This window comes from Homo sapiens, chromosome 3 (assembly GCF_000001405.40).
Source record: "Homo sapiens chromosome 3, GRCh38.p14 Primary Assembly".
In the NCBI taxonomy this organism is placed as follows: domain Eukaryota; kingdom Metazoa; phylum Chordata; class Mammalia; order Primates; family Hominidae; genus Homo; species Homo sapiens.
The window spans coordinates 132,775,334-132,788,001 of NC_000003.12; the positions used below are offsets into that span (position 1 = coordinate 132,775,334).

Below are 12,668 nucleotides of genomic sequence, written 5' to 3' on the forward strand. Positions count from 1 at the left end.
TCACAGTGAATGTCTTTTGGCCTACCTGAAGCTCGGGCAAATGAAACAGGTAGGTGTAATTGCTGCAGACATTTGGCGTGCTCTATAAGGCTCAATTTATGATTGTGATTAGCCTCATCATTGTAGACTTTGAGAAATTTGCTTCCTAGATTGTTGTTTATTTTCATGTGCATAATTTAGCGAAGGTTTTCAAAGCATCATTTTTATGTGTGTGAACTTAAAAATTAGTGAGCTTCAGAAAGGATAAAGTTTCCTTTTGCAAACCCTCATATTCAGTTTAAAAATTCACACTGAATGAATTCAAGGATTAAAGAAAGAATTGAAAAATGTTTGCTCATTCTGTGGATGTCCTGTTTATGCCCAATTCATCATGTGCCATTAACTGACAATGGTCACTTCCAGTATAAAAATTTTTAAAAAGCCAGCTTCTAGCATTCATCTTAGTAAATGTCTTTCTAGAATATGTATTTTTTTATTTTTAATTTTTGTGATTACATAGGTATATATATTTATGGGGTACATGAGATATTTTGGTACAGACATGCAATGCGTAATAACCACATCATGAAAAAATTAGGTATCTATTCCCTCAAGCATTTATCCTTTGTGCTACAAACAATCTAATTACACTCCTTTAGTTATTTTAAAAGGTGCAATTAAAATATTATTGACTATAGGCCCCCTGTTGTGTCTCACTTATTTGTGGGATCTAAAAATCAAAACAATTGAACTCATGGAGATCGAGAATAGAAGGATGGTTACCAGAGGCTGGGAAGGGTAGTGGGGGGTGGGAGAGAGGTGGGAGTGGTTAATGAGTAAGAAAAAAAAAAAAAAAAAAAAGCCAGGCACAGTGGCTCTTGCCTGGGAGGCCAAGGTGGGCGGATCACTCGAACTCAGGATTTTGAGACCAGCTTGGGTGACTCAGTGAAACCTCGTCTCTACCAAAAATACAAAAATTAGCCAGGAGTGGTGGCACATGCCTGTAATCCCAGCTTCTTGGGAGGCTGAGGCACGGGAATCGCTTGAACCTGGGAGGTAGAGGTTACAGTGAGCTGAGATCGCGCCACTGCACTCCAGCCTGGGTGACAGAGTGAGACTCTGTCTAAAAAAAAAAAAGAAGAGCGAATAAGACCTAGAAATGTCTTCTGTTAGGAGTTTGGGTTTGAATAACAGCAACATAGAATTATGTGTTGGCCGTCTATACTGCATCCAAATTGCTTGAGTATTAAAATAATGAATGAGATACAGTAGGATGGCACTATCATTCCAGACTACTATAGTTGTCAAGGCATTAGTTCAGTATCTCATTGATTGTCACTGGATATGATGAGAGGAGAGGTGGTGCAGGGGAGAAAGTTCAGATATACTGTTGTTTCTTTGTAACAGCTTTATTGAGATCTAATTTACATACCATACAGCTCACCCATTTTTAGCATAATTTAATGATTTTCAGTATATTTGCAAAATTGTGCGACTGTCACCACAATTAATTTCAGAATATTTTCAGCATCTCAAAAGAAACCTATACCCTTTAGCAATCACACCCCTCCTCCACTTCCCCAAAGTGTTTCCAGCCCTAGGTAACCAGGAAACTACTTTCTGTGTCTATGGATTTGCCTCTTCTGGACACTTCATAAATATGGAATCATAAAATATGTAGTTTTTGTGACTGTCTTCTCTCAATTAGTACATTTTGGAGGTTCATCCATATTGTAATGTGTATTCATATATCATTCTTTTTATTATTGAAGAATGTTCTATTGTATGGGTAAGACCACATTTTATTTACCCATTCATCATTGATAGATGTTTGTATTGTTTCCACGTTTTAGCTGCTGTGAATAGTGTTGCTATGAACATTTGTGTAGAACTTTTTTAACTTAATGTTTTCAATTCTCTTGGGTATACATCTAGAAGTAGAACTGTTGGGTTATGTAGAACGTCTATGTTTAACTGAGGAATTGCTAAACTGTTTTCTAAGCAGCTGCATAATTTTACAATCCCACTAGCTATGTATTGGGATTCTGAGTTCTTCCCACATCCTCCACAACACGTGTTATTGTCAGTCTTTTTTATTTTAGTCATTCTAAGGGGTATGAAGTGGTATCTCGTTGTGGTTTTGAATGGCATTTATCTGATGATAATAATGTTGAGCATCTTTAAAATTTTTTTTTAATTTTTAAATTTTTTTGTGGGTACATAGTGGGTGTATATATTTATGGGGTACATGAGATGTTTTGATACAGGCATGCAATGTGAAATAAGCATGTCATGAAGAATGGAGTATCCATCCCCTCAAGTATTTATCCTTCGAGTTACAAACAATCCAGTTACATTCATTATTTTTAAAATGTACAATTGTTATTGCTGACCATAGTCACTTTATTGTGCTTATCAAATAGTAGACCTTATTCATTCTTTCTAACTCTTTTTTGTACCCATTAATCATCGCTAGCTCTCCTCTAGCCCCCAGTACCGTTCCCAGGCTCTGGTAACCATCCTTCTTCTCTGTCTGTCTGTTGAGCATCTTTTCATATGGTTATTTTCCATTTGTATATTATCTTATTTGGATAAATGTCTACTCAGATCTTTTACTCATTTTTTAATTGCCCTTTCTCTTATTGAGTTATAAGAGATTTTTGATATGCTTTTAAGTAGTAGCATGAAGTGGAAACAAATGGTAATATGGTCGTCTCCAAAATGATAATAATATACATATTGATTGAGATGCTTGGAATCACAGAACTTAGAGCTGAAAGTCACCATAGAGATCTCCAAGGCAAAGTCCTATTTTCATAGATGAGGAAACAAATTATGATGAAGATTAAATGACCTCCTAAGAAGTTACAGCCAGGAGGTCAAAGAACCAAGACTCAAACCCATGTGTTCTTATGCAGAATCCACTACTTTAGCTGATAGACTTCATTGCCTGAAAATGCAGCAAGATGCTCTGTGCTGCCAAGAATTCTTAGATCTTTGTTTGCCTCTTGTCTTTAAAGATGAGTACAACATTCCTACTTATTGCTGTGGCTTATACCAGGTTTCTGTTTTGGCCAGGACTAATGGATAATGAGTTACAGTGTACTTCTCAAGCTTGAGAGTGCATCAAAATCACCTGGTGAGCTTGAGAAAACACGATTGTGCCCAGCATACATGATATGTAATATCATGCTAAAAATGGACATAAATATATTTTAAAAACTGTATATGATGCATGAGTGCCATTGGCAAAGGTTGAATAATGTGTAGCACTTATTACATGACCCCAAATAAACATTTATTGAATGGAAATTGAAAAACATGATTTAATATATAACCTTAAAACCATGGTTCTGAAACTTTAGCATGCATGAAAATTATGCACAACTTATTAACACACGTATTGCTGAGCCCCACCCCCAGAGTTTCTGATTTAGTAGATCTGGGGAGGGATCCAATAATTTGCATTTCTAATAAGTTTTCAGGTGACATTGATACCTGCTGGTCTGGGAACCACACTATGAGAACCACTGCACTACAGGAAAGAAAACATTTCAGTGCCTGGGGCAGCAATAATGTGGTAGAGGGCAGACCTAAATTATGATATAATGCCATATGTAAGTGAAAAATCTTTTCAGATGTCCTTAAATAATCTCAGTCTTTTTCAGTGTACACTTTGGAATACATTACTTGCTTTTTTTCTCATACTAGCTTGAAAGGGAGAAAGAACAAAAATGCCAGTACTTTTGATTTTCCTAAACACAAATTGCAAAATTTTATACCATCCAAATCTATAATAATTGTACATATACAGAGGGCCCTTGATTTATGATTTTTTTACTTTACCATGGTGCTGAAAGCAATATGCATTCAGTAGAAACTGTATTTCACGTGCCTACACAAGCATTCTGTTTTTCACTTTCAGTACAGTATTCAATAAATTACATGATATATTCAACACTTTATCATGAAATAGGCTTTGTGTTAGATGATTTTGCCCAACTGTAAGCTAATGGGAGTGTTCTGATAACATTTAACATAGGCTAGGCTAAGCTATCATGTTCAGCAGGTTAGACATATTAAATATATTTTCAACTTACGGTATTTTCAACTTATGAAGGATTTATCAGGCTGTAACCCCATCATAAGCTGAGGAAAATTTGCATGTGAAGGCAGTTGACGAGGATATTTGGTTTTACTTGTTACATAGAATGATTGCTTGCTTTAAAACAAGGCAGGAAAAAGATGCTGTTATGATGCAGCTGGAAAGCAGACCAAATTTCTTGGAAGAGTGAAGTCATGGGTAGGATGCTTAGAGTACTAAACACTGATCCTTGCATACCATAGGTCCTCTGTTACATGTTTGTTGAATGGATGAATGCTTTATCTGCCATGGGTTTTACATCAGCTCAATCATGACAACGTACAAGTTGAAGAACATGGCTGATAGATTTTAGCTACACTTTTTGGATTTCCATATCAAGATGAGGAGCACATGCATTTCATTAAGGCTTTCTGAGTTCCTGTGCATTTTTTCTCCTGGGAGTTCTAAACCAATATCTGTCCTTAGCTATTAGGTCTTAGGTGAATCAAAAATATTTAAAAATGAATGCCACACATCTGGCACAAGTTATGCTATTAAATTATTCCTGAATTCTAAGATGAAACATTTGGAAGTTATATAATGAATCAACTTAGATTCAGTATGTTTTAAGTCTTCAGCATATTGTTTTAGTTGAACCTAGTTTAAGAAGTAAGGAAATTTTTGTGAATAATTTTAAAAAAGGTGTTTATCATAAAAGATGATAATAGATCCAAGGTTGAATTATCTATATAAAATTTGGAGAATTTTCATGATGTCAAGACACCAAGGCCATATTTCCAAAACCAGGATGCAAATTATTATTATTATTAATTATTTGCCCTTTTCTAAAATGGTAAAATGTATGGGTACTTAACTGGCTGATTGCCTATTGACTCAAGTGAGTGGAAAAGTGCATGAGCTTTGAAGTCAAAGCTGTATTCATATGCTAGCTTTGTTACTTCCAGGCTGGTTGACTATAGCAGACTCTGTGATATGTTGCTCTGATCTCTATTCAGGACTGAAGAACTTACTTCCCCCCAGGTGCTACAATTGCTTCAGACTTCATCCAACTGGCTGACATGAGAGCGTAAAATTCCAGTCCCCTCATCCCAACTCAGAACATCTCTTAAGGGTCATGACAGCTCTAGGGCTCTCTATCAGATAAGCTGAGGCCTTATTGGAACCACACTGAAGCCCAGCTTCTCCCTCTGCCTGTCCTGCCTCTTGCTCTTCCCCTCCAGATGCTGAGCCTGAGAATATTCCCTAACAAATTTTCTGATCACAAATCTCCATCTCAAAGTCTGCTTCCAAGAAACCCAATGTGCAGCAGTGATCTTGTATGTCATTTAACTTCTTTGTTCCTAAAAAATTTCCTGTAACAATGTTTGTCTCATTTAAGGTTTATATCAGAATTAAATTAAATAACATGCTTGAATGTCCCCCAGCACAATGCTGGACACAGAATAGATGCCCAATAATGGAAAATTCCTTTCCAGTCCCCAGCTAGGTTTTCTTCCTGTTTCTAATTAAGTCAAAATTTCCCAGACTGCACACCTCGTGCAACCACAAATAACATATAATATCTGGGATTTGAGAGACTTTGAATCCTTTCAGTTGGTTTGCCCAGTCTCAGGCAAAACAGGTCTATTCTGGGACAAGTTATAAAGAAAGATAGCTCACAAAATATTGCTACATAGCTGCATAGGCCAGGCAATGGTTCCCAATGGCTGCTTCTGCAGTAGGTTTTCTCTGACTGCCAAGAAAATGGATGAAAAGCATTTTTAAAAATTAATGACTTCGTGTGTGATTTAAATCTTCAGCTTGAGAGTACATAACCCTGCTTTTAGAGTCCGTTTTAAAAAATATATTACTATTTTCTCCTCAAAAATACCACGTAGCAACCAAACACTGCATGTTCTCATAAGTGGGAGTTGAACAATGAGAACACATGGACACAGGGAGGGGAACAGCACATACAGGGGCCAGTGGCGGGGGGTGAGGGGCAAGGGGAGGGAGAGCATTAGGACAAATAGCTAATACATGTGGGGCTTAAAACCTAGAATGATGTGTTGATAGGTGCAGCAAACCACTATGGCACATGTATACCTATGTAACAAACCTGCATGTTCTGCACTTGTATTCTGGAACTTAAAGTAAAATTAAAAAAAATCACATAGCAAGAGCATACTACAGAGCTTCACTGTGCAACCTATTGGATCATATGGTAAGCATGGCCAATGGTGCTATTTATATGGTATAGTACAGTTCCTTAAAATTTGGAAAGTCTATAATCCACATGTCACTAAAGGGGTTTAACCCAGTTAAGGGCTCTAGGAATGACTGTAATTCACTTTGACAAATATTTTTTAAGAATAATTCTGTGTTAGGTTCTGGAGATGTTCAGATGAATGAGACATGGTCTTCTGTCTTCAGAAACTCATCTTCTGCTTCTTGAAGGTGCTGGCTATATGGACTTTTTTGTCTGTAAGAAGGGGATCAGAAATAAAATGTCAAGTTTTTTTAAACCCATAATGGAAATTTATGTAATAGTGAGAGAGTAGCTAACATAAATTGCTCACGACCCCCACAATGTCCATTCTCTCCTTCTTCCTTTTAGTAATAGACCACATCTTCCATAACTTTAACTGAGCATATGGCCATCCAGATAGAGACTAAATTTCTCTTGTTGCTAGATATGGCCACATGACCACATTCTGGCCAATGGTACATAAGCAGCAGGATGTTTGTGGTTCCTGGGTTATGTCTTTAAAAGGAAGCTCTTGCCACCACTGTCTCTTTCCTCTATGCTGCTGGTTGGAAGTCAACCTATCCACAAATGAAAGCTACAGATTGAGAATGTAGAGGAAGCTGTAAGTCCTGAATTGTCCATTATCTCTGGAATATTACATAAGAAATATATTTCTATCTTATTTAAACCCCTCTATTTTAGGTGTTCTTTGTTATAGCAGCTTAATCTGTGCCCTGGCTAATATATGTATTATCTTATTTCATCTTCATAATTGTCAAGTGAAATACTTGTTGGTATTGCCACTTATAGATGAAGATACTGATTCAGAGATTAATTTCCTCAAATTCATTTAGCTAGTAAGTGAGAAGGCTGAAATTCAAGTCCAGGTAATCTGGATTCAAGTCTAATCTTTTCTTCAAATGAATTCTTTTTTTCTTTTGTGACAAAGTCTCGCTGTGTCACCCAGGCTAGAGTGCAGTAGCGCAATCTCAGCTCACTTTACCCTCCGCCTCCCCAGTTGAAGCCATTCTCATGTCTCAGCCTCCTGAGTAGCTGGGATTACAGGCATATGCCACCACACCCAGCCAATTTTTGTATTTTTAGTAGAGACGGGGTTTCACCATGTTGGTCAGGCTGGTCTCGATCTCCTGGCCTCAAGTGATCTGCCCGCCTTGGCCTCCCGAAGTGCTGGGATTACAGGTGTGAGCCACCAAGCCCAGCCAGAGCCACCACACCTGGCCCAAATGGATTCTTTTCAGGAGAAAACTAAAACATTTTCTAGTCTATAAAGTGAAAGGCCGTGGAGACATGACCAAAATTTATAAAATCAAGTAAGGATAGTTCGAACAGGTCTTGTTTATCAAATCTTGTGTATTAGAACTGGGACCCTTCTTTGAAGGTCAAAACCAAAATAATTAAAGTTAGTAGGAAGAGAAATTGTCCTATTTTGCATAGAAAGTCAACCGAGAGAAATCGCCACCTTAAGAAGAAGTGAAGACAAAGTATAAATTGGCTGAAGATTTAGGTCATTTATTCAAAATAGACTCAGATTAGGGAGGTTTTGGGGGTGTTTGAGTACATCACTAACTTACAATTTTAAGTTTTAAAGAATTCTGCCTTCTTCACAAAGTTCCCCTTGGGGGTCTATCTTAGCCAGGAATCTCAGATGGACTAGCTGGCACAGAATGGCATTCCTTAAATTCTTATGCTAGTGCTAACACAGCATACCAAGCTGTGAGCAGCTATGTTGCCAACAACTTACAATGAGGAAGAGGCAGACCATATGCTCAGATGTGTCCTCTATAAATGTCCTTAAATTCACAGTGATGAACAAGCAGGTGCCTAATAACCATATTTTTCAATTATGTCACAGTTTGAGTTTTGGAAGAGCATAAAGTCATCCTATATCCACAACAGAAGACTACAGATTGTCTTTGAGTTGGTTGCTTTTGGAAGTTGCCATTGTACCTTCAGAATGAAAGAGTGACACAAGTTCTTTGCCTTTGAGTAGTATCATCCTCCCTTATGTATGGTCTAAAGTGAGCTGCTTTCTTTCCTTTTCTTCCAACCAGTGTGTTCTAGTGCAACTTACACCACTCCCTCCTGATTCCAGACACCTGTCCATCATTTCCCTCTTACCCTGCTTCTCTCTACATATGCTAAAGGAAGAAGTGTTTTGCTAAATCAGTAGTTTCCAAACATTAACATGCATCAGAATCACCTGGGGGTTAGTGCTGGGCTCCACTCTCAGAGTTTCTGATTTAGTAGGTATAGGGTAGGGACTGAGAATTTGCCGTTCTAACAAGTTCCCAGCTGATGCTGAGGCTGTTAGTCCTGGACAACATTGGGAATTAATATTATATACATATATATGTATATAATACACACACACACTCATCTCTTTTTAAAATTTTTATTTTAAAAATTTTCACTTTTTTTATTTTTATTTTTCGAGACGGAGTCTCACTCTGTCGCCAAGGCTGGAGTGCAGTGGCCCCGTGTCGGCTCACTGCAACCTCCGTCTCCTGGGTTCAAGCAATTCTCCTGCCTCAGCCTCCCTAGTAGCTGGGATTACAGGCACCCACCACCATGCCCAGCTAGTTTTTATATTTTTAGTAGAGATGGGATTTCACCGTGTCATATACATGCAGGTTTGTTAAAAAGGTATGTTGCGTGGTGCTGAGGTTTGGGCTTCTACAGTGAACATATACCAGAAAGTGAACATATACTCACCAGGAAGTTTTTTAGCCCTTGTTTCCCTCCCTCCCTCCCTCCCTCCTTTTGGAGTTCCCAGTGTCTATTGCTCCTGTCTTTATGTCCCTGTGAACCCAAGATTTAGCACCCACTTATAAGTGAGAACATGCAATATTTGGTTTTCTGTTTCTCCATTGGTTGTCTTAGCATAATGGCTGCCAGCTGCATCCATGTTGCTGCAAAGGACATGAATGTATTCTTTTTTTAAGCCTGCATAGTATCCCATGGTGTACACGTACCACATTTTCTTTATGCAATCCACCCTTGATGGGCACCTAGGTTGATTCCATGTCTTTGCTATTATAAACAGTGCTGTGATGAACATACAAGTGCATGCATCTTTTTGGTGGAACAATTTATTTTCCTTGGGGTATATATCTAGTAATAGCATTGCTGAGTCAACTGGTAGTTCTATTTTTAGTTCTTTGAGAAATTTCCAAACTGCTTCCTGTAGAGGCTAAACTAATTTGCATTCCCACCAAGAGTGTATAGACATTCCCTTTTCTGATAACTTCACCAGCATCTGTTATTTTTTATTTTTTTAAGGCAGATAGTTCATATTTATTCTGCTTTTACAGGCCAAGGAATATTTATTTAATAAATGAATAAATGATATTGCATGCAGTCATTTGAGATTACTCAAAAGGGGTACATATCAACAATAAAGAATAATGGTAATGAACCTTCCCTAATTTTTATAAATATTTCAGTTATGGCGATAAAAATAGTTTCAGGTTCCAGGCAATCTCTGCCCATACTTTTTAAAAAATAACGTTTATTTTAAGTTCAAGGGTACATGTACAAGTTTGTTATATAGGTAAACTTGTGTCATGGGGATTTGTTGTACAGATTATTTCATCACTCAGGTATTAAGCCTAGTACCCATTAGTTATTTCCCCTTCTACCACCCTCTACCCTCTGATAGGCCCCAGTGTGTGTTGTTCCCCTCTGTATGTCCATGTGTTCTTATCATTTAGCTCCGGCTTATAAGTAAGAACATGAGCTATTTGGTTTTCTGTTCCTGTGTTAGTTGGCTAAGGATAATGGCCTCTGGCTTCATCCATGTTCCTGCAAAGGAGATGACCTCATTCTTTTTTATGGCCAGCACGTGTTATTTTTTGACTTTTTAATAATAGCCATTCTGACTGGTATGAGATAATATCTCATTGTGGTTTTGATTTGCATGTCTGATGATTAGTGATGTTCAGCAGGTTTTCATATGCTTGTTGGCTGCTTATGTCTTCTTTTGAAAACTGTCTGTTCACGTCCTTTGCTCACTGTTTAAGAGTTGTTTGGTTTTTTTTTGTTGATTCCACTAAGTACCTTATAGATTCTGGATATTGGTCCTTTGTTGGATGCCTAGTTTGCAAAACTTTTTCCTATTCTGAAGGTTTTCTGTTTGCTCTATTGAGAGTTTCTTTTGCTGTGCAGAAGTGCTTCAGTTTAATTAAGTCCTATTTATGATTTTGTTGCATTTGCTTTTGGGGTCTTCATCATAAATTATTTGCCTAGGCCAATGTCTATAAGAGCATTTCCTAGGTTTTCTTCTAGAATTTTTATTTTTATAGTTTGAGGTTTTAGGAATTTAGAATTTTTATAGTTCAAGGTTTTAAATTTAATCTGTAGTCCAGCTTGAGTCAATTTTTGTACATGGTGAGAGGTAGGGGTCCAGTTTAATTCTTCTGCATATATAGTTAGTCAGTTTTTCCAGCACCATTCATTGAATAAGATGTTCTTTCCCCTTGTTTATTTTTGTGGACTTTTTTGAAGGTGAATTGGTTGTAGGTGTGTGGCTTTATTTCAGGGGTCTCTATTGTGTTCCATTTGTTTATGTATCTATTTTTGTAGCAGTATCAGGCTGTTTTGGTTACTGTAGCCTTGTCGTACAGTTTGAAGTCAGGTAATATGATGCCTCCAGCTTTGTTCTTTTGCTTAGGATTGATTTGGCTGTTCGGGCTCTTTTTTGGTTCCATATGGATTTCAGCACAGTTTTTTCTAGTTCTGTAAGAAATGACGTTGGAAATGTAGCAGAAATAGCATTGAATCTGTAGATGGCTTTCAGCATTATGGACATTTTAACGATGTTTTTTCTTCCAACCCATGAACATGGAATGCTTTTCCATTTGCTTGTGTCATCTATGATTTCTTTCAGCAGTGTTTTGTAGTTCTCTTTGTAGAGATCTTTCACCTTCTTGCTTGGTTAGGTATATTCCTAGGTATTTCATTTTTTTGGACTATTGTAAATGGGATTGCGTTCTTGATTTGGTTCTCAGATTGAATGTTATTGGTGTATACAATTGGTAGTCCTAGCTCCTCAGGAAGCTGAGGTTGGAAGATCACTTGAGCCCAGGAGATGGCTGCAATGAACTAGGATCATGCCAGTGCACTCCAGCCTGAGCTACAGAGTGAGATCTTGTCAGAAAGAAAGAAGGAACGAAGGAAAGAAAGACAGAAAGAAAGAAAGAAAGAAAGAAAGAAAGAAAGAAAGAAAGAAAGAAAAAGAAATGCCACTTTTTTTGTGTGTTGATTTTGTATCCTGAGACTTTGCTGAAGTTGTTTATCTTGTCTAGGAATCTTTTGGCAGAATCTTTAGGGTTTTCTAGGTATAGAATGTTATCAGCAAAGAGATAATTTGACTTCCTCTTGTTCTATTTGGATGCCCTTTACTTATATGTCTCTTGAGTGCTCTGGCTAGGACTTTCAGTACTGTGTTGAATACGAGTGGTGAAAGTGACATTGTCTTTTTTTTTTTTTTTTTTTTTTTTGAGATGGAACCTCACTCTGTTGCCCAGTCTGGAGTATAGTGGTGCCATGTCGGCTCACTGCAACCTCTGCCTCCCAGGCTCAAGCAATTCTTGTGCCTCAGCCTCCCGAGTAGTTGGGACCACAGATGCGCACCACCACAGCCTGCTAATTTTTGTGTTTTCTGTAGAGATGAGGTGTCACCATGTTGGCCAGGATGGTACTGAACTCCTGACCCCAAGTGATCTGCCTGCCTCAGCCTCCCAAAGTGACATTCTTGTCTTGTTCCAGCTTTTTAACCTTCAGTATGGGATGTTGGCTATGGGTTTGTCATAGATGGCTGTTATTATTTTGAGGTGTATTCCTTTGATGTCCAGTTCATTGAGGGTTTTTATCATGAAGGGATTTTGGATTTTATTGAATGCTTTTTCTGTGTCAATTGAGATGATCATATGGGTTTTGTTTTTAAACTGATCTCTTTTTGCTCACTGCAAGAGTTGCTGTACAAAATCCCCTCTCCTCTCTTTGTGAGACTGTTAATTTCCTTAGGTCTCACCCTTCTTTATATTCTTGGAGTTTGGCACTGTGCCTGACCAAGTGGACATCTCACAAATGTTTGTTGATTCCCTGTTGCTATGGACTGAATGTTTGTGTCTCCCCCAAGTTCATATGTTGAAATCTAATCCCCAGTGTGACAGTATTTGCAGATGGGGCCTTTGAGAGCTAATTAGATCATGAGGGTGGAACCCTGAGGAGTGGAATTAGTTCCCTTATAAGAAAGCTAGCTCACCCTCTTTTCTCCACATGATTTTACAAGGAGAAGCAACCTTGGAAGAGGGCCCTCACTAGCCACCAAATCAG

The 12,668-nt window shown here is 37.9% G+C and overlaps 2 long non-coding RNA genes across 2 annotated transcripts in view; one reads left to right on the forward strand and one right to left on the reverse strand.

Annotated features, from left to right (window-relative positions):
* Positions 1-12,668, forward strand: part of NPHP3-AS1 (NPHP3 antisense RNA 1) — a 152,462-nt gene that overhangs the window by 53,584 nt on the left and 86,210 nt on the right. The window lies entirely within an intron of this gene.
* Positions 1,373-12,668, reverse strand: part of LOC105374115 (uncharacterized) — a 28,010-nt gene continuing 16,714 nt past the window's right edge. The window contains exon 3 of the long non-coding RNA XR_924500.3: positions 1,373-6,545. This is a non-coding gene — a long non-coding RNA (uncharacterized LOC105374115). The remainder of the gene's footprint in view (positions 6,546-12,668) is intronic.